At 34.3% G+C, this 26752-nt stretch overlaps 1 protein-coding gene across 13 annotated transcripts in view; it reads left to right on the top strand.

Annotated features, from left to right (window-relative positions):
- Positions 1–26752, top strand: part of HDX (highly divergent homeobox) — a 184576-nt gene that overhangs the window by 4108 nt on the left and 153716 nt on the right. For 8 of the 13 annotated variants that reach the window (XR_001755653.2, XR_001755652.2, XM_017029275.2 and 5 more), the window contains one exon: positions 22949–23095. Coding sequence is in view for 9 of the 13 variants with exons in the window: in XM_017029275.2 (XP_016884764.1) it covers positions 22949–23095 (147 nt within the window). In the remaining 4 variants the exon portion in view is untranslated. Of the gene's footprint in view, positions 1–10213; positions 10323–22948; positions 23096–26752 lie in introns of all 13 variants that reach the window. The other 5 variants (XR_938392.2, XM_047441827.1, XM_011530864.2 and 2 more) reach the window with 2 other exon arrangements.

Below are 26752 nucleotides of genomic sequence, written 5' to 3'. Positions count from 1 at the left end.
AAATTTTAAGGAAATAAGTTGAAACCTGTCTGTCCAAATGAGGTCATTCTTGTGCCAACTAGTGGCAAAATTGCCTGGATTAAACCAGAGATCTAGGTATAAGGCAACTGGATACATGAAATTATACTGTTAGTCAATTAAATGCTTCACCTTACATCTTCCATCTGTAAAGAAATCTAGAACAATATCTGTCTTACCTTTTGTTTCACAAAAGGTGTCCTATTATTTAACAACTAGACATATGTGCATTTGGGTTGATCCTTAGAATCTTTGAGGCTATTATTGTCAGGGTGGCAAAATTTAGCAAACTATCTCCTTAGCTTCTTTTCCCTTGGAGTTAGGGACAGTTTCTTTCAAGCTTCTAAAAACAGTCATGCAAACATGTGGCTTATATACTCCCCTAAGCACTTTTGTTATTAGGCAAATATTAGTGTATGGTGCTCATGCAAGGTCATATACTACTAAGTGGCAAAGCCAGGATTTGAGGGCAGGTGTTATTCTAGACACTGTATGCTCAACTGTTAAGCTACCAGGTATAAGTTAAGGAGCTACAGTGAGGCCTATCTTCATTGTTTTTCAAAAAATTTATGTGTATACACACACACACACACACACGTATATGTAAATTCATACACACACACACACACACACACAGTCATATAACATGTATATTTTCCCCTAGTTTCTTTTCTCCTTCTGAACCTCTAATACCTGTAATATTTTCCTTTTTTTTTCCTTAGTGGAGATGACATTTTTTACATAAATAAAGGCTGAAGTTAAGGGGAAAGGGCTCATTGTGCTGACCTCCAATGGCTTCACTGGCAGAAGGCACATAAACCCATATTCTTTCTTACTGTCAAACCAACCAATGTTGAAAGCACTTCATGAGTGGATTTTATTAAAACATAGATTATATTATTATATAACTTTTCTAATACACTAATTTAATGATTCAATATTTTCTTATTTGGCTAGCTTAATGTACCTATTGTATGTTTTATGGATGGAATAGCTGTGCCATTTAAGAAAGTAATTATCTGAGATGCATTTTCAAAATAGCTTTGCCCTTTCATAGACCGAAAATTTGTTGTGTTGAAATCCCCTTGTACTAATTTGTTTCCACACTGCTATAAAGAACTTCTCGAGACTAGGTAATTTATAAAGAAAAGATATTTAACTGACTCACAGTTCCACATGGCTGGGGAGGCCTCAGGAAATTTACAATCATTGTGGAAGTTGAAAGAAATGCAAGGCACGTCTTACATGGCAGCAGGAGAGAGTAAGAGCGAGGTGGGAACTGCCAAACACTTTTACACCATTTCACTCATGATCATGAGAACAGCATGGGGGAAACCGCCCCCATGATCCAGTCATTTTCCATCAGGTTACTCCCTCCACATGTGGGGATTACAATTCCAGATAAGACTTGGGTGGGGACACAGAGTCAAACCATATCACCTCTCAACAAAGCAACAATTGGAAGAGATCCAGGCATTGTAAAATGTGGAAGAAGAAATATATTCTGTAATAGTGGGAAATATTACATTAGGTATTAGAATGCTCAGTCCTGACTCCTCATTATTCTAAGACAAAAGTATAGCCACATGAATTTATTTTTGAATATCTATGTTAGTTAATAAAGTAATGAGTCAGACACTTTATTTAGGCTCACTTCCATCACTAATAAATGGTTAAAAGATGCTGGAAGTCAGTTTGAGATTATTTTTCTTCTCTCAACTAGTAATACTGAATGCAGAGAGAAACATTTTGAATTCAGTATTGTTTGTGATATGGAGCCTCAGGTAGGGATTGTTGAATCCCTCCCTTGCTATTCAAAGTGTGTTCCATAGAGTGGTAGCATGAACACCACCTGGGAGATGCTTAGAAACTGCAAAATCTCCTGGCCCCACACTAGATATACTGAATCAGAATCCGCATTTTAACAAGACCTCCCAGTTACTTACTAATATGTATATTAATGTCTGAGAAGAACTGAAGTAAAGTGAAATCTTACTTCCTGTACAACAGAGACTTTTAAGAGCTGGTGGTCATAGAAACAAAAACTTGAATTTTCTTTTGTCTGTTTTCGCATTTGTAAAGAAATATGCGATCTAAGCATTCTCCATTATACATTGTATGACAAATACAGATCAGCTTTGTTCCATTCTGAAGTATGCATTGTATCATTAAGAGAAAAAAACTACACCAATGTCATAGGTAAAATCGCTAAGCCTCTGAGTATATCCACTCACATTGGTGACAGCAATGGCTTTACCATTGAAATGATATTTATCCTAATTACTTGACTTTTCAACAGAGTGTTACAGAAGAATATAGTTGTATTGGGTTCACTGTCACCAACATCCTCAAGGGGAATGGTATGTTGTCTCTTTGCTGCCATAATATATCACCACAAAATTATTGCCCTAGAACAACCCAAATTTATTATCTTATGGTTCCAGAAGGCACAAGTCTGAATGGGTCTTTTTGGGTTAAAATAAATATGTCAGCAGTACTTTCCTTTTTGGCACCTCTAGAGAAGGTTTTGTTTCCTTGGCTTTTCCAACTTTTAGAGGCTACCCCCAAAAACAAAAGCAAAATTTTTCCTACACTGACAAAATCTATCTTTGGATCTCTGTTTGAGATATTCTGCCTTAAGTATCTTTTGTTTTTGTTTTATTTTTTTCATTTGAAGAATAAAGGAGGAGTTTTACCTGTGGCTATCAGATTTGGGGTTCTACTCTATGAGACTTTTAAGTCATTATGCAATTTCTTTATTTTTATTTTTTTGACAAGAAGTCTGGAGCATGATTACATTATGCATTTTCTTACTCTTTAAAGTATTTGTGGGGATAATCCTTCATTATTTGATTGGCAAAAATATATATGTTTATAGTGTGTAACATGGTGATTGGATATATGTACACATTGTGGAACAGCTAAATCAAGCTAATAACAAATCAGTTACCTCACATACTTATTTTGTGGTGAAAACATGTAAAATCCACTCTCTTAGCAATTTTCAAGCATCCAATACATTGTTATTAACTGTAGTCACCATGTTATACAATAGATCTCTTGAACTTATTCTTCCTGTCTAACTAAAATTTTGTATTCCTTGATCAACATCTACCCAATCCCTCACTGTTCTCCAGCCTTGATAACTACCATTCTACTCTCTGCTTCTATGAATTTGACTTTTTTTTTTTTTAGATTCCACATATGTGAGATCGCGCAGTATTTGTCTTTCTGTGCCTGGCTTATTTCACTTAATATAAAGTCCTCGAGGTTCCCCTATGTAGTTGCAAATTACAAGATTATTTTTTCTTTGTCAATGCTGAATGGTATTCCATTTTGTATATATGCCACATTTTCTTTATCCATTCATCTGTTGATAGACACTTAGGTTGACTCCGTATCTTGGCTATTGTGAATAATACTGCAGTGAGTGAACATGGGAGTGCAGATATATCTTCAAGATACTGATTTTATTTCCTTTGGCTATATATTGAGAAGTGGGATTGCTGAATCATATGTGGTAGGAGTTCTATTTTTAATTTTTTAGAGACCTCTATACTGTTTTCCATAATGACTGTACTAATTTAAATCCCCACCAAAGTTGTACAAGAGTTTCCTTTTCTCAATGGGGATAAATTTATGCTTTCACATTTTCATTGTCTAAATACATGTGTGTTTGTATGTTGTTTCTACACTATATATGTGTATGTTTATATAATGTTACCTACTTACCACTTGATGGTGTACTTTGAGGGATATCCCCCTAACCTCTAATGTGTGACTAAATCTTTTTCCCCTTAATTTGTGCAGGTTGATGTAAAATCAGGAATGAGAGTTGTAAGATAATTAAATAGTCTATCTCTTTGTGTATGTACTTCCCTCATTAGTAAGTTAAAATACAACCTACATTTTAAAAGTATTAACAAGACTGTGATTTGCAAGATTGTGAAATGTTAGCTTTCAATGGTTGTGGCAGTACAAACACTCTCCAGTGAAACATAGAAGTGATTTACCTGCACATTTTTTAGGGCTAGAAATGTACAAAGAAACACAATTTATTGAAACAAAATTTACTCAACGAATATGAATGAATCAAGGTACTACTTAGCTCATTCGGAGACGCTGTATATCACTGGTCATTAGTGCCATATATCACTGTCATATATTTTGTATGGATGGATGCATGTGGGATTACATAAAAACAGAGCCAAAGGAAATAGTCATTCAGTTGAGTCCCTATTTATGTTTTTGTCATTCAGCTGTTTATCCATTTGAAATTGATCTTTTTACTTTTTTTTAGTATTTTTAATTTTTTTATTCTTAAATTTTGTGGGTACATAGTAGGTGTACACATTTATGGGGTACATGAGATATTTTGATATAAGCATGCAGTGCATAATAATCACATCATGGAAAATGGGCTATCCATTCCCTTAAGCGTTTATCCTTTGTGTTACAAACAATTCAGTTATACTTTTTTAGTTATTTTAAAATATATAATTAAATTATTTTGACTATAGTCACCCTGTTGTGCTATCAAATACTAGGTACTTATTCTTTCTGATATCTGATGGTATGATTAGGTATTTATAGTTTTAGGTGTATATTATTTGAACACATTACCATGTGAATAAAGCAAGTGTCATTAAAGGCTAATACATTTTTATCATTGATTAAACATTCTGAGATCCAGTATATTTACTTGCTAATGCATTTATTTGGTAGAAGCTTTCTTTAGAATTTAGTCATTAGGGATGTAGCTATAGACATATATGTCCCTTTATATTTTCATATATTTATGTGGAGTATGTGTACATAAAATTTTCTTGCAATTTGTGTTCATGTCACTATGAATATGTTTTATGTAGCTGGCAAAACTGAATATTAATTACATAATTTTAAGTGTGTTTTAAAGCGAGGTCAGTGAACAATTTCTTTGTGCCCTGAGAAAATCATATGATAAGTTTTTATTAAAATCTCCTTTTGTTTCTATTTTCACCTAAGCAATATAAGTTAGTTTTATCTCTAAAAAGACAGATAAGAGATGTGTACAATACATTTCAGTAAATTCTAGCTTAATAAACAGATAATATACTCTCATAGTATTAGAATAAACAGATGTCTGTCACTAGACTTTATGCTTTGAAGATGCTGGAATTTATTTTTTACAATATCTAAAAACTTGGTGAGATGATTTTAAAATAAAGTAAATAGAGAGGTGAATCCCCATCTCTACTAAAATACAAAAATTAGCCGGGCATGGTGGCCAGTGCCTGTAATCTTAGCTACTCGGAGGCTGAGGCAGGAGAATTGCTTGAATCCAGGAGGTGGAGGCTGCAGTGAGCCGAAATCGCGCCATTGCACTTCAGCCTGGGCAACAAGAGCGAAGCTCCATCTCAGAAAAAAAAAAAAAAAAGCTTTTTGTAATATTAAATTTGTACTAAAAAATTCTGGAGTGGCTTCCATGCATATGTGGACACGATGCTATTTGTTGGGCTTAACTTTCACATTCTTAAACATTTTGAAAGATTAAACTCTTATTGCATAGACAGGGATCTCAGGATCAGTCTTTTTTTTGCCATCATAATATCATAATGTACATATCCTTCATTTGAGGTTCATATATAAATTGTGTAGGAGTGGATTGATGTACTTTAAAAGAGTTATTCGCAGTACTGATGGCCAGTTGATGATATGTTAACTAGTAACAAAAATAGGCTTGGCGTAGCACATTACAGTTTATTAAGTATTTTAATGAAGATGACACATCATTTGAAGAAGAATAGGACAGGTTTTATAGTCCCATTTTCCAGATGAAGGAACTGAGGTTCCAGAGGTCAATTATCTCTGCTAAAGTCACAAGACTAGCAAGTAATGAAGCTTAAGAGCTTAATAGGATGGAGGTATCCAGACTCCTAAAGCATTCCCACTCCACCACTCCAAAAGGTCACCTGAATTTCTGCTTGTAGCAATGATGAAGTAACAGTAACAGGATTTCCTCTTTTACCTTAAATATCTAAACACAAACAAACAAACAAACAAAAACAGAAAAAAATAGAAAATAATGAATTTTAGACCTTTGACAAAAGGCAGCACAGGACCATGATTCTTGAGAGAAGGGAGACAAGATGAGCCTTATGAATGTCCCAACTTACTGCCTTGGGAAAGTTTCCAGACAATAGCTCAGGTGAAAGGAGCCCAAAAAGGCTAGGAGTCTCTCTGTGTTGAGAAGACATAGTTCAGAGTTCAGAAAGTACAAGGGTGCCTACAATTTGAGGAACAGTGTACTGGAGAGAACATTGCACAGTGAAGGAGAAAACTGCATATGGAGAGAGCTTCAGAAATCTGCTGAGGGACCCTTCAAGTTTCTGAATAATGATCAGCTCAAGTGTGTGATGAAACTGATGAGGACAGAGAAAGAACCACAATAAAGAAACAGGCAAATCAATCCTCAGAACTCACGGAGGACCAGGAATAGTTATGTTCCCACTAGCCAGATTGGAAAACATCATATTTCAAGAGGCATTTAAAAAAGTCCTCACAAGGGTATTGCCTGAGTAATGGAGCAAATTAGATCTAGAATAAAGGCAATTCTAGATTTGCCTGACAAAAGCAAACTTCAAAAGAACCAAACCAATTCCTAGTAACTTAAATATATCCCCAAACAAAGGCAAACATATTCAAATACTACAAAAACAGACAGTACCCAAAAACAAGATTTATAATATCTGATTTTAAACGAAGAATTACCAAGCATGCAAAGAAATAGGAAAATATACAACCCATATTCCTGTGAGAAAGCAATAAGAAAAACAGAATAAAAAAGGGTGTGAAATTAGTAGAGAAGAATTAAAAAACAGCTATTATTTCTGCAATCCATATGTTCAATAAGGTAGAAGAAAGCACAAGCAAGATTAGAACAAAATAGATTTTTTTAAAAGATCCACATTGATTGAAATTCTAGAGACAAAATATAGCATATGAAATGGCAAATGCACTGGATAGTTTTAACAGCAGATTAGCTACTGCAGAAGAAAAAATATAGTGAACTTTAATACATACAAATAAAAAGTATTCAAAATGAAAAGTAGAGAGAAAAATATGAGAAATAAATGAATGGAGCAACAATGAATTGTGAGCCAATGTCATTCAACCTACCATCCATATTTTTTGAGTCACAGAAGGTGGGAAGTAGAAGAAAATTATCTAAAAACGAACAGTTGAAAATTTTACAAATTTGATGAAATCTATGAACCCACATACCCAAGAAGCTCAATATATCCCACAAATAAGAACGATGAAGAAAATGGCACCAAGGTATTTCATACTCTAATAATTGAAATTCATAGAAAAGAGAAAATCTTAAATGCAGCCAGAGAAAATAACTGCACTTTATGTATAGGAGAACAAATATGACAATGGTAGGATATATCTCACGGAAACAATGCAACACAGAAAACAATGGGGCAACATTCTTAATGTGCTGAAAGAAAAAAATAAGTTAACTTAGAATTTTATATATAAAAAAAGCAATATAAAAGTATACATATGTAACAAACCTGCACGTTGTGCACATGTACCCTAAAACTTAAAGTATAATAATAATAAGATTTAAAAAAATTATAAAAAATAAATTTAAAAAAAGTTCATCCACTCATACCAAAGTATAAAATACATCCCTAGCAGATATACATTATCAAAACTGTTAAAGGAAATCATCACACCGAAGAAAAGTAATACCAAATTGAAATTTTAACATACATAATGGAAAGGAGAGTACTGGAAATAGTAAATATGTGGGTACAAATGAAAGATCTTTTAATTTATAAAATCATTTTAAGCAATAACAATTTAATTTTTAAAATAACAACTTATTTGGGATTTAGTAGCATTTGTAAAAGCAAAATGTGTAGCAATAATAGCACAAAGGCCAGTAGAGGAGAAATAAAAGGATAATTTAGTGGATACGTAGAAAACTTGAAATCTATTACTTGAGGGTCACTTTAACAAAATACTAGTAGAAGAGCAAATTAAGCTCAAAACAAGGATAAAGAGGAAATGATAATGCTAAGAGCATAAATAATTGATATAGAAAACAGAAAAGCAATGAACAAATGCAATGAAACCAAATGTTAGATCTTAAGAGAAAAAAAAAGGAGAGAGGACACAAATTGCCAATATCATAATGAGGGAGAATGTACCACAATAGACTGTACAGACATTAAACAGTATACTCACAAAGTTAACCTACATGACTATACATTCCATAACTTAAAGGAAATGGACCAATTTCTTAAAAGTTGGAAATTACTAAAATTAATTGTAAAAGAAAAACAGTAACTTAATATTTTATATTTAATTAGAGAAATTGAATTTTTAATTAAAATCTTCCTTAAAAGAAATCTTCAGACCCAAATTGCTTTACTCATTAATGCTACAAAGCATTTAAGAAATAAATAATATGAAATCTACACAAAAGTTTTTTAGGACACAGAAGTGGAGGTAATACTTTGCAACTCATTTGAGCACTTATTATGTCCAAGGCATTGTTCTAGAAGCTGGTTAATTAAAAAGATGAAAATTTGCTTCCTGTAATACAGAAGCTTATAGTATGTGAGACAGAGAAGGAACTCTCTCCCTCTACCATACACTTAGGTCTGCCTGATTGGTTAAGGCAGAGCAAAGCAGATTATCTTGCATTGTATAGACAGTTGAGTTTAAAACTCTTTCTTTGTAAAATCAGCAGAGGTGAACTTGGCCCACTGATTTCCCTTTGTCTATCACTGGTACACAAAAATTGACAGACTGACCTGGGAGTGGAATACCAATGTTTGTTCTATCCAAGAGTCCCCAACCTCTACAACAACTCTTTCCTTCTCCCAACCAAAACCCCGCTTGCTCTGTGTTGTTAAGAATAATTTAATATTTCATCTAATGTTTTTATTTGCCTTATTTACTAAATATTAAGCAAAAGATGGCAGTTGTTTTGTTTACTAAACAACTATTGCCATAAATTGTACTTCACCACAACCATATGTCCACATGGTAGAGAGGTTGATTTTAATCCAACTTTCCATTCCACTACTGCTCAGTTCATGTGTGAAATAAAATAGCCATTTTAACTACTATAGATCATCACTAGAGTAAAAGGGCACAGTAGTAATCCTTCACATATATCATTCCTCCAGCAAATCCAAGAAAATAAGTGTCACAAAATCTACAAGGTAAGGCCCAAATGATAGAGTCATGAGTAAACCTCTCAGGCCTTTCCTGAAAATTCTGGTCTTTTACCAGATTAGAAAAAACAAACTAATGAAAAACAACAAAACCCGGCAAATTAAGAGTGAGAGGGAATTGCTAAAGGCAAGCCCACTGACAGCATGACAAACGATGACAGACAAGGAGAGTAAAAGAGAAACTATAAAAAGGATATGCAAAAATTTTAATGTGTTTTAATGAAGAGACAGACACCGTATCACAATTATTAGAACACCATTTATTAAATTATGTTTATAATGATGACCCATTCTTATAAAAACACTTTATTTTTCTATTCCCTGTTTAACAACTCAAGAGAGTGAATAAGGTAGTTCAGAAATATTTTCATCTAAGATGAAAACTTATGAAAAATAAAATTTTATTGCTCAAAGGAGTATACACTTTAGCTTTCCAGAATGACTAATTTCCCAAAATATCTTAGAAATGGAAGTATAGTGGCAACTGGGGAATTTTCATATGTCTTCATACCAAATTATGCAGAACAACTAGAGACTATACAATTAAACATGAAGCATTTATTTTTGTGGCCAAGAAAATTAAAATGCCAAGAAAAAATGCCTAGAAGTATATTATTACTAATGTCTTTTATTTGCTTCAAAACATTTCTAATATTTAATTTATTCAAAAGTGTAGTTATTTGTATTTTCATATATAAAAGCTTCTGAGAAAGACGGAAAACTGGTTGTGTGTGTGTGTGTGTGTGTGTGTGTGTGTGTGTGTGTGTTTTAGATTTTAAACCAGTAATATCAGCCCAAAAGTATTGCTCTTCAGCAAGGGTTAAATAAATATAGCTTTGATTTGACTTAAAGTTCCTTAAAGTTTAGTTTGATCTAAATTTTAAAAATGCAGTGCTAGACTTCCGATTCTGACCAACATGAAGTAAGCCCACTATAACCTTCTCTCCTGATTATTACAGCTACAATCTCTGGACAAAATTTTAAGAGAAACTCCCTCAGAACTCCTAAAGGTAAACAAAAGCAGGCAGATTGAGGATGGCAGTCAGAATATGAAGTGACCATATATGGGTGAGTTTCCCAGTTTTCCCCCATTTCTCTTGAGACTTTGACCCAAGGCTGGATCCATCTCATGGAACTATGGAGCGGTACATTACTGGCTAAAACTGCAATAGCAGCTGGCAGTCCCAACAGTGTGAGAGTAAATTCTGAGTCAGTTTCATTCTCTGTCTTTCACTTCCACTTTTTAATCAATGGTGGCTCCAGTTGCAGAGCTATGCTGCAGTGACAATAGAACAACTAAAATAAACTCTAAGGGAAACCCTATATTTCTGTCTAGAGGACCAGGAAAAGTGGCCCTTGCAGGCTGTACAGTGAGTGGAGAATCATGGAGAGGAAAGAGTTGAGGAAGGGGATCTTTTAATACTGGGCATCAACCTGTGGAAAGCTTAAGCTCATCCTTGAGTTGTTCAGGAGTGGGACAGATTCGAAATAGATAGCAGAGGCTTTGGAAATAGAATTGACATTGAAACCACCACCCAAATGGTACTAGTGTGAGGACAGACCCAAAATAACACAGAAAAGGATTTCAAAACTGAGCTGACTTGCTGACAGAAGTTTTTTAAAAAAAGTATTTGCAGTTGAATCTGACATAGTAGATTGCCTGCTAACTGTGTTCTGCCAAATCAACATTCTCAAGAGGATGCCAACAAATAATATTCAAAAGAACCAAAATAGAATTTAAACATACTCAACAGGAGATGCCAACACCAATATGACCCAGATGTTGGAATTCTATCAAAAGGTGTTAAAACAGCTACTATAACTATGCTCCCTTAGATGAAAATAAACACCTTGAAAAAGAGTAAGCTGTGAGAAGTTCTCAGCAGAGTAATAGAGCCTAGAAAATAATACTAAATGGAAATTATAGAGCTGAAAATTCATTATCTGAAATTTTTTTACAGGCACCATCTGTGCTCAGTAAGAGAATGATGAAGACAGTGGAAACAGTCAGTGAACTTTAAGATAAATCAACACAAATTAATCTGATGACCAGAGAGGAAAAAAATATGTAGAAATATGAACAGAAACTCAAGCCCTATGGGATGATATAAAAATAGTATTCATGTCACTGAAATCCCAGGAGGACAGGAGAGAGATTGGTGTAGAAAAAAATATTCGAAGAAATAATATCTGAAAACTTCTCAAATTTTGTAAAAGATGAAAATTTACAGATTCAATATCAAGGAGCTTGAAATAATATAAAATCAAAGAAAATTATGCCTAGACACTTAATAATCAAACTGTTGAAAGCCAAAGGTAAAAAAAAATGTTGAAAATAGCCATAGAAAAACAGCATATACATAGGAAAACAAGGGTATGAATGACTGAATTTTTCTTAAGAGAAACCATGGAGATGTAAAACAGTGGAAAAACATCTTTAAATGAAAAAAAAAAGTCAACCCCGATTCCTATAGTCCATGAAAATATGTATCAGAAATGATGAAATAAAGACATTCTCAGATTTAAAAAACCTAAGAAAAGTTTTTGCAAACAGATCTATTCTTAAAAATGTTAAAGTAAATTCTTCAGGCTGAATGGAAATGATAGCAGGAGAAAATTTGAGTTTCAGGAACAAAAAAAGACCAAATTAAATGGCAAATTCTGGGTAAATATGGGATTCTATTTTTGTCTTCTTAAGTTCTTTAAAATATGTATGACTGTTGAAAGTAAAAATGATAACATTGTCTATCAGGGTTTTTAATACATGGAGATGTACTATGTATGATGACTATAAAACAAAGAGGGGAGGGAAAAGGTACCTAGATAGTTGTCATTGAGGTTGTAAAATATTAAATGTGTAAAAAGAAAAAATAGATATGTACATTGTAATCCTTAAAACAATCACTTAAAAATATGCAAAAAAAAATTAAAACAGAATACCAAAAAGTATTCAGATAATCCAAAAGAAGTTGGAAAAAGGAGATCAATGTCAGAGGGACAAACAGAAAACAACAAATAATATGGTATACCTATATCCAACCATATCAGTAATTACATTAAATGTAAGTGGTGTAAAGAAACTAATTAAAACGTATTGTCATATTGGATTAAATAACCAAACTATATGTTTTATAAAAGAAATCCACTTTATATAAAAGACATAGGGTAAAATACAATATGGAAAGTGATATACTATGGTACAGCAATCAAAACAAAGCTGGAGTGTTTATATTAGTGTCTGGCAAAGTAGAATGCAGAGCAAGGACTAGTACCAGGAATAAAGAGCAGCATTACATAACTAAAGAATAAAGGGTCAATTTACCAAAAAGATATAACAATACTACATGTATATGTGCCTAACAACAGATCTTCAAAATACATAAAGCAAAAAGTTGGCTGGGCCTGGTGGCTAACACCAGTGATCCTAGCACTTTGGGAGGCCAAGGAGGGCAGATCACTTGAGGCCAGGAGTTCAAGACCAGCCTGGCCAACATGGTGAAACCCCGTCTCTACTAAAAATACAAAAATTAGCCAGGCATGGTGATGCATGCCTATAATCCCAGCTACTCAGGAGGCATGAGAATTGCTTGAACCCAGGAAATGGAAGTTGCAGAGAGCCAAGTTTGTGCCACTGCACTCCAGCCTGCGTGATGGAGTGAGACTATGTTACAAACAAACAAACACATAAAGCAAAAACTTCCAGAACTGAAAATAAAAATAGACAAATCCACAGTTATAGATGGAGATTACACCATTCTTCTTTTAGTAATTGATAGAAAAAGTTGTGAGGAAGTCAATAAGGATATAGAAAACCTGAAAAATACTATCAAACAACATGACCTAATTGACATTTTTAGAAATGACCACCCAACAGCAGACTATACATTCCTTTCAAGTGTTCATGGAACAGTCACAAAGAGAAATCATTTTCTGGGACATAAAACACACTTTTAAAAAATTTTAAAGAATTGAAATGATAAAAAGTATGTTCTCTAATCATAATGAAATTACACTAAAAATTAATAACAGAAAGATATCTGGAAATGCCCTAAATATTTTAATTAAACAGTAAACAAGAGAAATTGGAAAATATTTTGAACTGAATGACAATATATACTTTATCAAAATTTTTAGAATGTAACTAAAGCAATACTTAGAACTAAATTTAACATTACTTGCTTGTATTTAGAAAAGAAGAAAGGTCCCAGATCAACAGTATAAGCTTCCATTTCAAGGAACTAGGAAAAGAAAAGTAAATTAAATCCAAACAAAGCCAAATGAAGAGACTAGTAAATATAAGATCAGATCAACTTCACTGATCTTCAGAGAGATACAAATAAAACCACAATGAGATACCATTTCACACCAGTCAAAATGGCTATTTTTAAAAATTCAAAAAATAATAGATGTTGGCGAGAATGTGGAGAAAATGAGACACTTACATGCTATTGGTAGGAATATAAGTAAATTAGTTCAACCTCTGATATAGCTTGGCTGTGTCCCCACCAAAATCTCATCTTGAATTATAGTTCCCATAATCCCCATGTGTTGTGGGCGGGACCTGTGGGAGGTAATTGAATCATGGGGTGGTATCCCTCATGCTATTTTCATGATAGTGAGTAAACTCTCACAAAATCTGGTGGTCTTCTAAGGAGCTTCCCTCTTCACTTGGTTCTCATTCTTTTCTTTCTTGCCATCATGTGAAGAAGGACATGTTTGCTTCCCCTTCTGTCATGACTGTCAGTTTTGAGGCCTCCCCAGCCATGTGGAACTATGAGTCACTTAAAACTCTTTCATTAATAAATTACCCAGTCTCAAGCAATTCTTTATAGCAGCGTGAGAACAGACTAATACAGTAAATTGGTACTGGGAATGGGGCACTGCTATAAGGATACCCCAAAATGTGGAAGCAACTTTGGAACTGAGTAACAGGAAGAGGTTGGAACAGTTTGGATGGCTCAGAAGAAGACAGGCAAATGTGAGAAAATTTGTAACTTCCTAGAGACTTGGAGGGCTCAGAAGACAGAAAGATGTAGGGAAGTTTGGAACTTCTAGAGACTTGTTGAATGGCTTTGACCAAAATGTTGATAGTGATATGGACAATGAAGTCCAGGCTGAGGTGTTCTCAGATGAAGATGAGGAACTTGTTGGAAACTGGAGTATAGGTCACTCTTGCTCTACAGAGACTGGTGGTATTTTGCCCCTTCCCTAAAGATCTGTGAAACTTTGAACTTGAGAGATATGATTTAGGGTATCTGGTGCAAGACACTTCTAAGTGACAAAGCATTCAAGAGGAAGCAGAGCATAAAAGTTTGGAAAATTTACAGCCTGATGATGCAGTGAAAAAGAAAAATTACATTTTCTGGTGAGAAATTCAAGCCAGCTGAAGAAATTTGCATAAGTAGCAAGGAGCCAAATGCTAATCACCAAGACAATGGAGAAAATGTCTCCCGGGCATTTCAGAGGTCTTCACGGAAGCCCATCCCATCAGAGGTGCAGAGGCCTACAAAGAAAAAATGGTTTCATGGGCCAGGCCCAGGGCCTTGCTACTTTGTACAGTTGGGACTTGGTGCTCTGCATTCCAGCCATGGCTAAAAGGGGCCAACATACAGCTCAGGCCATTGCACCAGAGGGTGCAAAGCCACCTAAACCTTGGTGGCTTACACATGGTGTTGGCCCTGCAGGTGCACATAAGTCAAGAATTGAGGTTTGGGAACCTCCACCTAGATTTCAGAGGATGTATGAAAATGTCTGGATGTCCCTGCAGACATTTGCTGCATGGGTGGAGCCCTCATGGAGAACCTCTGCTAGGGCAATGTGGAAGAGACATGTGGGGTTGGAGCCCCAACACAGATAGTGGAGCTGTGAGAAGAGGGCCACTGTCCTCAACACCAGAATGATAGATCCACCGACAGCTTGCACCATGAGCCTGGGAAAGCCACATACACTTAACATCAGTCTGTGAAATCAGCTGAGGGGGGCGCTGTACCCTGCAAAGCCACAAAGTTGGAGCTGCCCAAGCCCTTTGATGCCCACTCCTTGCATCAGCATAACCTGAATGTGGGACATGGAGTCAAAGGAGATCACTTTGGAACTTTAAGTTTTAATGACTGCCCTATTGGATTTTGAACTTGCATGAGGCCTATAGCCCATTTATTTTGGCCAATTTATCCCATTTAGAATGGTGTATTTACCCAATGCCTGCACTCCCATTGTATCTAGGAAGTAACTAACTTGCTTTTGATTTTACAGGCTCATAGGCGGAAGCGACTTGCCTTGTCTCAGATGAGACTTTGGACTTGGACTTTTGGGTTAATCCTGGAATGAATTAAGGCTTTGGAGGATTTTTGGAAGGGTATGATTGTGTTTTGAAATGTGAGGACATGAGATTTGGGAAGGGCCAGAGACGGAATAATATGGTTTGGCTGTGTCCCCACCAAAATCTCAACTTGAAATATATCTCCCAGAATTCCCACATGTTGTGGGAGGGACCCAGTGGGAAATAATTGACTCATGGGGCTAGTTTCTCCCATGCTATTCTTATGATAATGAGTAAGTTCTCATGAGATGTTATGGTTTTATAAGGGGCTTCCACTTTGCTTGGCTATCATTATTCTCCTTCCTGCCATCATGTGAAGATGGACATGTTTGCTTTCCCTTCTGCCATGATTGTAAGTTTCCTGAAGCCTCCCCAGCCATGCAGAACTGTTAGTCAATTAAACCTCTTTCTTCTATAAGTTCCCAGTCTTGGAAAGTTTCTTTATAGCTGTATGAGAATGGACTAATACAATCCCTATGAAAAGCAGTATGGAGATTTCTCAAAGAACTAAAACTAGAACTATTATTTGACCCAGTAATATCACTACTGGGTGAACGAAAAAAAATTGTTTTATCTAAAAGATACCTGGACTCATATATTTATTTCAGCTCTATTCGTAATAACAAAGACATGGAATCGATCTAAGTGTCTATCAATAGTGGATTAGACAAAGAAAATGTGGTACATATACAACATGAAATACTCCATAGCCATAAAGAAGAATGAAATCATATTCTTTGCAACAACATGGATGCAGCTGGAGGCCATTATCCCAAGTGAATTAACATAAAAAAAGAAAGTCAAATAACACACGTTTTCATTTATAAGTGGAAGCTAAACAATGGGTACATATGGACATAAAGATGGAAACAATAGACACTGATTACTCCAAAAGTGGGGAGGGATGGAGGCAGTCAAGATTTGAAAAACTACCTACTGGGTACTATGTTCACTGTTTGGGTGATGGGTTCACTAGAAGCGCAAACCCCAGCATCACCCAATATACCCAAGTAAGAAACCTTCATATATACATCCTGAATCTAAAAGTAAAAAGTAAAGATAAAAAATAAAGTTTGAGATTAAATTTGGTGGTCACTGAAATTTAAGAATTAAAAAAAAATTGTCCAAGCACTTAAAAAGGTGAGAAAAGTCACCTGTAGAGAGGGAAAACAGACCCCAATTTGTTCATAAATTGACAGAAGGCAGAAAACGAGGTTAATAGAGTGCTGTAGGAAAATAAATATGTCCGGTAAATAGAATGGTGAACAAAATCAAACCACATAACCTCTCAGTGATGTGGAATCTGTGGCATCAAAAGACTAACAATGAGCACTGGATCCACCATGTCTCCTGTGATAAATATTGTGTCCCCTGTACATTGTATCTGGCACATTGAAGGCGCTCAATAAATACTTGCTGAACAAAAAATAGAGAGTAGAAATTAATGAAAATGAAGACGGAAAAACAATAGACAAAACTAATGAAACTAAAAGCTAGTTCTTCAATAACAGTGATCTTTTAAAAGATCACTAAATAAATGCTAAATAAAGAAGAACAAACAATTTACCAATATCAAGAAGAAAAAAGGTACATCACCACAGGCCCTACAGACAGTAAAATAATAATAATAAACAATGAACTATTAATAAACAACCTTATACCTTTGAGTTCAACAACTTAGATGAAATGGAGCAATTCCTTGAAAGACACAAACTATCAAAACTCACTCAAGAATAAATAGATTATCTGAATAATACTGAAATGTAATTCGTACTTCAAAACATTCCCACAAAGAAAACTCCATGTTCAGATGGTTTCATTGGTGATTTCTAAGAAAGATTTAAATGAAATTATTAGCAATTCCATGTGATTTCTTCTAGAATACATAAATGAAGGAAATACTTCCTAACTCATTACCCTAGTACTAAAACCAAATACATTGCAAGAAAAGAAAACCACAACAAATATCCCTCACAAAAATAGACTAAAAAATTCTTAACCAAATATTTAAAAATTTAATAAATTATATATAAAAAGAATAATACATCACTACCAAGTGAGGTTTATTCCAGGAATAGAAGGCAGGTTTGGCATTTGAAAATCAATCAGCATAATTTACCATTTAAAGATTAAAGAATAAAAACTATACAATCATTTCAATAGATGCAAGAAAAAGCATTTAACAAAATTCAATATCCATTAGTGGTAACAATAATAATAATAAGAAGAAGAACTCAGTTTAATAAACATAAAAGAGAACTTCTTTAACCTGGTGAGAGGCATGTATGAAAAACCTGTAGCGAACATCATACTTAATGGTGAAAGATTTAACGCTTTCCCTCCAAACTTGAGAATAAGGCAAGAATGTCTACTCTCATAGCTCTTATTAAAACATCATGATTTATGTCCTAGCCAGTCCAGTTAGGGCAAGATAGAAAAATGAAAAGAATGCATATCAGAAAACAAGAAATAAGCTTGTCCCTGTTTGTGGACAACATGATTGTGTAGAAAATACCAATCAACTGAATCCCCTGGAACTAGTAAGTTGGTTTAGTAAAGTTGCAGAATACAACTTCAATGTACCAAGATCAATTGTATGTTAATAAACTAGCAATGAACAATTGGAAATGTTAAAAAATACAATTTACAATAATAACCCCCCTAAAACAGAAAATATATAGGTATTTATTTAACAGAGTATATGCTGGATCTGTTTTCTGAAAACTATAAATCTCTAGTAAAAGAAATCAGGCAAGATATAAATAATTAGCAAAAGATAAGCCACAGGTGGAGAAACATTGGAAATCATATTTCTGATGAAGGGTTTGTATCCAGAATATATAAGGAACCCTCAATACTCAATAATAAGTAAACAACCCAATTAAAAAATATGGCAAATATTTGAGTAAAACACTTCCACAAAGAAGTGGCGGGTAAGTATACAAAAAGATGTTCAACAACATTTGTCACTAGAGAAACACAAAACCACAACAATAATATTCAATTACACAACTAGGAAATGGCTAATTTTTAAAAAATTGACTGTAATAAATGTTGATGAGGAAGTGAAAGAAATGAATCTTTCACTGAATGTTTTTCAGTGCATTCGAGAATGCGAATTTGTACAGCCAATTTTGAAAACAGGTTAACAACTTATTAAATTAAACATACACTTACCATACGACCCAGAAATTTCATTCCTAGGTATTTACTCAAGAGAAATGAAAACTTACCTGCACACAGAAACCTGTGTACAAATGTTCTTAACAGCTTTATTCATAACAGCCAAGAACTTAAAGCAGATTCAATGTCCTTCAGTGGATGAATTAACTGTGGTACATTAATACAATAAAATACGACTTTACAAGAAAAAGGAACAAACTACTGATGACACACAGCAACACAGATTTATCTCAAATGCTCTATGCTAAGTGAAAGAAGCTAGGCTGAAGAGTCTACATGTTGATTCCATTTATAGGGCAGTCTACGGAAGTCAAAATTATAGAAACAGTGGTTGCCAGGAGCTGGGGTGGCTGGATGGCTTGCTAATGAGGCAGCATAAGGGAAATTTTTGGGAGTGATGAAACTATTCTGTCTTGATTTTGGTGATGGTTTGATGACTATATACATTTCTCTTAACTCATAAAACTGTACATGAAAAAGAGTGAATTTTACTGTATGTAAGTTTAGAAGTGAATAATAATAATGGATAAAAAGTACAATATTAATACAGACATGTTGGCCAAAATAAGATATTCAATGTGTTATGTTTAACTTGGCTCAACACTTTGTAAACAAAAACATCAATGGCTTTTCCAAATGCACATTTTTAATATTGGAAAGAATGCGTTATATTTGAATTGATGATGATTTTATGGACTTGTCCCATTTCTATTTATTTGCTTATTTATTTAGAGACAGGGTTTTGTTCTGTCACCCAGGCTGGAGTGCAATGGTGCAGTCATAGCTCACTGTAACCTCGAACTCCTGGGTTCAAGAGACCCTCTCACCTGAAACTCCTGAATAGCTAGGACTACAGGCACATGCCACCATGCCCCACTAATTAAAATTAAAAAAAAATTGTAGAGGTGGGGTCTCACCATGCTGCCCAAGCTGGTTTCAAATTCCTGGTCTCAAAAAATCCTCCTACCTCAGCCTCCAAATGCGTCATCCCATTTAGAATATCTTGTTTTCCAGTAATGAATACTTATAAGTAAATTTTTTGGTACTTTTCAAATGTTTTAATTAGCTGGGGCATTAGTAAGGCATTGAGCTGGTTTTAAGTATGGCATCGAATCTATAAGAACAGTGTTACATCATATAGGAATTTATCTCAAGTGTTTCCATGTGAAAATATGGCCTTTGCTATCTGGAACACCTAAGGAAGCAGACATTCTTAGAAGCTGTATTTTTCAGGTACTTCCAAAGCAACAAATCTAAAAAATTATACTCATTGTTCAGCTTGTTTGAATAGAACATACTAAGCATGATTTAATATTTTCTCAATGTCTCAGAGTCTTCATTAAAATACTGAATCTTAAACCTGAGTGGAACCTGAAAAATTCCATATCTGAATATGATATATAAACTTAAGAGCCTAGTTGTACTAAAAATATAGGTATGTTACAACTACATGCTTTACAACTTAACACAAATGAGTTCATATATCATAACTTACTTGTATCAACCCAGAGTAGTAGACAAGATGACTTGTACAGTCCAGCATTTTACAGACTTGGTAATGGATATTCATGGAAATTAAATGATTTACCAAATTGTCAGCAGTGAAGCTGAGCATAAACCGAGGTTGTCTTATTCCTATGGGTGGGCATGTGCTGAATGGTAGCATAATACAGAATATTGGGGGTAACACTAAATAAATTGTTACTTCAGCACTCAATCCCCTAATTCAGCCACCATCCCCACCACAACCCAACAGACCTCAATTTCCAGGGAACCGACCATTTGTTATTTTATCTTCCACATAAATAAAAACCCAACTTTAAAAGTTATTATTTTAAAAACTCTATTTTTGATTATTTTGTTGCAAATGATTAAGAAACTTGGCAGTGCAGTCATTCAATATCTTGCCACTTCAGAGGCCAAGATTGCTAGGGTGGATGAAGATAATGATAAATTATCTTGCTCAAATGGGGTCATCTAGTTGTTGTAAAGAATTAACTTCCTATAATATAGTAGATCTTTTGAGCAAAGTGGCCTTGCTGCTATTACTGAATTTAAAGGGAAAACTAAAAGGTCCCTGCATTGTCTATTGTCAGAGTTGCAGTATCCAGAAATCTGTTTAATACTCAGTCATCTTTATTTGACTACTGGTATCAATGGGGAAGGACCTGGTGTGTTTTGTAGGTTGATATCACACTTAGATAAATGTAACAGTTGCAGCCAGCTAATGGGAAAACATAGGGCAGATATTATCACACTTGGTGATCACTCACATCTTGTACTTTAGGCTTTTTGCAGTAGGTACAGCCCTGCAGAGGAGGATCAGAGCTCTGATTGTACATTAATGATTTGAAGTATACCATTGTCCTCAGAACCCATTTCAAAGTACCTTGCTTCTAAATCCATACCAGATGAAATATTTCAGGTATTTGACCTCCATCTTCTGGCTCTTCTCCTGACTGCAGCTGAACCATTTAGGAAAAGAAACCCCAAACGGCTCTGAAATCTGGCAGCCATGATAGTAAAAAAAAAATTGCTTTAATGGATATTGTTCCTGCTCACTTGCCCACGCATCCTTGAAAATTTCGTTCGGTTTAGGCTTACACATTAGTGCACTTGAATGAGATCCCCTTCAGAAAGTCAGTAGAAGTCTTTGCTTCAGATGTTTCAGGGAGAAACTTTACTCTCATCTTTCCTGGTGCTCGCCTACATCTGATTTTCTCTCATCAGATCTCTTAACATTAGATAGGAGATAGATGAGATAGATGCTTGTGCGGACAAGAAAGTCAGGTGTACAGATTGCACTGGATGACTGGATGACTGCTTACTTTCCTTAATAGAGAGCTTTATTTTTTAAAGTATTCAGAGAAAGATAAGTTATTTCCGTGTCAATGTACTTGGTTATTTCCATACACAGTATGCTGGAAAAATTTCTGTCTGGTTTGGCTTGAAGAGTTTCGTTGTTGCTCTTTTCTTTTTTCTTTTCTTTTCCCCTTCCTTCCTTCCTTCCTTTCTTTTCTTTCCTCTTTTTTTTTTTTTTTTTTTGAGACAGAGTTTCTTTTTGTCACCCAGGCTGGAGTGCAGTGGTGTGATTTCAGCTCACTGCAACCTCCACGTCTGGGGCTCAAGCAATCCTCCTACCTCAGCCTCCCAAGTAGCAGGGACCACAGGCTCACACCACCATGCCCAACTAATGTGTTGCTGTTTTCTTAATTTTGAGGAGACGCTTTTCTTGGAAAAGATGTGGTATTTTTTTCTGTCAACTTTTGGGATTAACAAGTTTAGTGTGACAGCTTTTAACAAGAACCCAAAATTGACTTAATCTAATCACAAGGATTCTTTATGAAATGCACTACTAGAATTTATCATTTTTAAAGAAGAGTTTGACCTGACTTTTATTCTTTAAATTCACAGAGTTGTATACCCTTAATATTAAACATTTTGTCTACTGGCAGAAAAGATAAAGCATTTTTTTAACTTATCTTGTCAAATTGTGATGGTGTCAATTTAATTAAAAGGTACATAGTTTTAACATGGTTTATTTTGAGTAAAATGTATATAATTTTAAATTTTTATGTATATGCTATGTTTATTAAAATAATTATTTTGTTTAGTATTCCCTAAAGCACAGAAATGTTCACAGTCACTAAACCTTCATGTTTATATTTAAGCTCTAAAGAGGTTTTGTTTTAATATGTAAAAGAATCCCTTTATCCAAGATGAAAAATAAACGCACCCTTTTGTTCCAGAGTACAGCTTCTGGCTATAAGACATATGCCAGATGCCTTGCTTGACAAAGAACAGTGAGTGTCCCTGTTGATAATTGATCACGTATGGCTACCACCATCTCTGACTTTACTAGCCATAAATATTTATTTCAATGAAATTATCTTTTTTCCCATGTATTAACACTAACCAGATAAGGACTTTCCTCTTTTTTATTTCCTGTCTTTTTTTCTTTAAAGTTGGTACATTATCTGAACAAATTCAATAAGTGTTTGCACTATGCATATTTTTCATTGAGAAGCTGTCTCCCTTTAGCACACAAATTATTGCCCACTACTGGGGATTAATTCACTTACAGAAGTTTACAGCTTGGAAGCATTGAAATTGTATTAAAAAAATAGGTGTACAAATTCTGCACATACCAAATTTTTATTCCAATTTTCAGAGTATCTTCTTTTATTTTTAGATGAATCTACGTTCTGTATTTACTGTAGAACAACAAAGGATTTTACAGCGTTATTATGAAAATGGAATGACAAATCAAAGTAAAAATTGCTTTCAGCTCATATTACAGTGTGCACAGGAGACTAAGCTGGACTTCAGTGTAGTCAGGGTAAGTATTGAGGTCTTACACTCAAATTTAAAGCTTCTTATTACAAGTGATATTTGCTTAATATGAGAAAAAATATTCAGGGTATGAAGTCACTAATTTTATAAACAGCTTCACTTCCCTGGTATAACAATACTATTTTAAAAATAAATAGGGCTAATCATTTAGTATGTATTTGTTTCTATAAATACCTTGAACACACAGAAACCCTTGCAGCGTAAACATCTTTTTAAAATCTTAGCTTTTTAAACTAATAAATACATTTAAGATTCATTGTTGATCTTATGCTCTTTAAACCCCAAATTAATGTAGATGTAATCCCCAAAAATAATATCAGTAAAACAGGCATTTACCAAGTGAATACTATATGTGACATATTTTTCATTGTATTTGAACTTTTCATCAGGCATTTGGTCTGCTTTATAAATACTTTCTCTTTCTAAATAAAATGCATGCAGTTTAATGGGTTAGCAAGTAAGGGACAAGGACTCTTAAGAGAATAAATTTTTCTTTATCACAATCATAGTTATTCAGTAGTAAAAATCAGAGCTGCTACATTCTTGAAAGGTAACGAGAAGGTGATTGAGAGGAGGCAAGAGATAAATCTAACAGAACTGGTCACGGATCTTATTGAATGCATAGGACCTTTTATGTCTGTTTGAAAATGTTACAAATCCTCTTAGCGTGAAACCTTAGTGATTGAAAGATTAGCAACTTTCTCCTGCTTGGCATTCATTAGGCTAATTTAGGAAAGAGAAAGGATGTCTGTTCTTAAGTTTAGTTTGCTTTCGATGTACCTTCAAAGACCCTAAAGATAAATATATTTTAATAAGAATAATCATTCAGAATATGTGTTTCTTAAAGACTAAAAGATTTATTCGCCTTCAAATAGGGAATTGTACCACCAATTCTAGACAAAAATATCCAGGATATCTGTTTCTTTTATTTTTTTCTTTTTTTTGAAACGGAGTTTCGCTCTTGTCGCCCAGGCTGAAGTGCAGTGGCCGGATCTCAGCTCACTGCAACCTCCCTCTCCCAGGTTCAAGCGATTCTCCTGCCTCAGCCTCCCGAGTAGCTGGAATTACAGGTGCCTGCCACCACGCCCGGCTAATTCTTTGTATTTTTAGTAAAGACGGGGTTTCGCCATGTTGGACAGGTTGGTCTCGAACTCCTGACCTCAGATGATCTGCCCGCCTCGACCTCCCAAAGTGTTGGGATCACAGGCGTGAGCCACCGCGCCCGGCCCAGGATATCTGTTTCTTATTTGCTGAGACCAATCATCATACTCAGATTTGTTTAAGAACCAGAAATATCTCCTATTAACAGCTCTAAACAGCTTATTTTAAATATCTTTACTAAGCCACAGAGGAAAATGTCTAATTGTATTAGAAAATGTAATATAAAATGGGTTGATGAGATTGCATTTAGTAAGTGCTACTTTTTTTTTTCCTGCAGTAATTTCCTCTGCTTTTTTTTTTCTTTTTTCTTGTCATTACCTTAAAATGAAAACGCTTGCCAGGCAGCTGCATTGTGAAAATCTTTCATATTGTGAAATCTTTCATATTTCCGATGTGTTATTGCAAACTTCTCATAACTTACTTGATTGTGATTGAATATTGAGAGTGTTGAAATACAGAGATTTATATTTATGCTCAAAATGGTGTGAAAATCTAAAACAAACAATGGGAATGAAATATATAATTTCTTAGAATGTAGATTATCAGTAAAATGTTACATGTTACAAGAAAGTGTAAAAAATGGATTCATTCCCTCCATTCCAATGTAAATTGTACAGAAATTCAGTCTTCTTTATCTAAATCCCAACACATATTTGATGGGTTTTCCAGTTAAAGGGCAAAAGGAATTTTTTTGTAGACTCATCACTCTACACCCCACCCCCCTCCCCAGATACTTTGCTAGAGTTATATGTTCTACTTGAAAGAGCTCTTTCTTTATTTTTACTAAGATAGTATTCATTGCATTTTTCTTTTAAAAAATCCTTAAGTCCCACTGTATTAAGAACTTGATCCCAATGTAAAGAAAACTTAAAAAGTTAAAACATCAAGCAAAAATAAATATACTGGTGTAAAAAAAACAAGAAAACAAAGAAGGAGATATAAAAAAAGGGAAAGAAGTTTAGAGACAGTGAATTTCTAAGAAAGAACTGAAACACAAATTTATGGACACTAAGGATTAATGACCCGAATTACTTTTCTTTCTTTTTTTTCCTATGAATATCACTTTATTAGTTCCTAACCCCAAATTCTCATCATATCAATTTCATTTGACCCATCTTATAAGATGTAACGTAAATGAGAATCATTTACATCTTATAAGCTTTGGTATATTTTGATAATAATTGATAATAACTGAACAAATTTTAGTAAAATTTAATTCAGCTTTTGGGAAGCCTCAGGCAATGTGTTTTCTTTATTTTCATTTTAAATGGAAATATTTCTTACATACTTTCCTACTTTCTTCAATTGAGAATGTGGAAAACAATTGAACCCTTACTTTTTGACTCAGGGTTTTCACTATGGAAATCAATTATTATACTGTGCCATAAAATAATAATACTCACAACTTGGTAAGGTATATGGAATTATTTTTTTCCTTAAAGGACCCCAGACTGCTATTTAGTAATTTCTCCCATTGCTTCTGTTTTGTGTGCCTTCTCTTCTCCCTTTAGTGAGCAATGTTTAGTGAACAATTTTAGTTTTGGTACTGTTGGGGTGCCTGCCAACATAAACCTCTATCACTAATATCCCTCCTATTTTGTAATTTCTAATTTGTTGTTGATTAGAGAAAGTGGGTTTTAAGGTTAGGTGTTGCAGTGAAGTACATGGATCTTGTGACATCTATGTTGGTTGTGTTCTGGACAAGGGAGGTTGCTAGGTTGCTATATAGCTATTTCTTATGTAAATGGATATTATTCTACTGCATTTTACTTTTTGATGGGTACACTATATAAATATCTATCAAGCTATATAAGAAACTATATATAATATGCATATGTATGTATAAACTATAAAACTTTATAAGTAAGCCATAAATTTGCAATGCACTAAAATCACTCTTAAACTTCCTGAGTTAAGGTAGACATTGTATGAAGAGAACACAATAGGTTACGTTGTGTGTTTTTTTTTTTAAGTGGCCCAGAGCTGCCCTCCAGATGTCATAGTTCTTGAATTCAAATTTTATAATTTTACTGTGCTTTCCCATTAATTTTTTTTAAATGTAATGCTTATATATTTTTGTAAAGATTACGTACAAATATGTTATGCTTCCCACAGGTTATTTTTACTTAAAAAGCCATAATGTGGCAACTTATTTTGAATATTTGTAAAATTCAACTTTTAACATTTTAGTTTTAAGTATTTCTCTAGTATATAATTTAAAACCTTTTAGTTTTTCTCCCTGTCTCCTGTGACATTTATATTCATACATCTTTCTGCTTGTCATTCTCACTCCTGCTGTTTCATGAAAGTCAGAGTGAGTTTAAAATTCTCACTGCCTCATGTGAAGTAAAGTGGAACACTACAGTTTGTGGAACATTTTCTTTATGGGAGAAACAGTAATTATAAAAATAAAATGGCCAATAGAGATGACTATTTTCAGGAGTTTCTAACCACTACATGTAGGGTAGTGGAAGGTTTAATG

The sequence above is a fragment of the Homo sapiens genome, chromosome X (genome assembly GCF_000001405.40).
Source record: "Homo sapiens chromosome X, GRCh38.p14 Primary Assembly".
Lineage (NCBI taxonomy): Eukaryota > Metazoa > Chordata > Mammalia > Primates > Hominidae > Homo > Homo sapiens.
The sequence above is the reverse complement of the archived record's forward strand: the minus strand, read 5'-3'. Positions and strand labels throughout refer to the sequence as shown.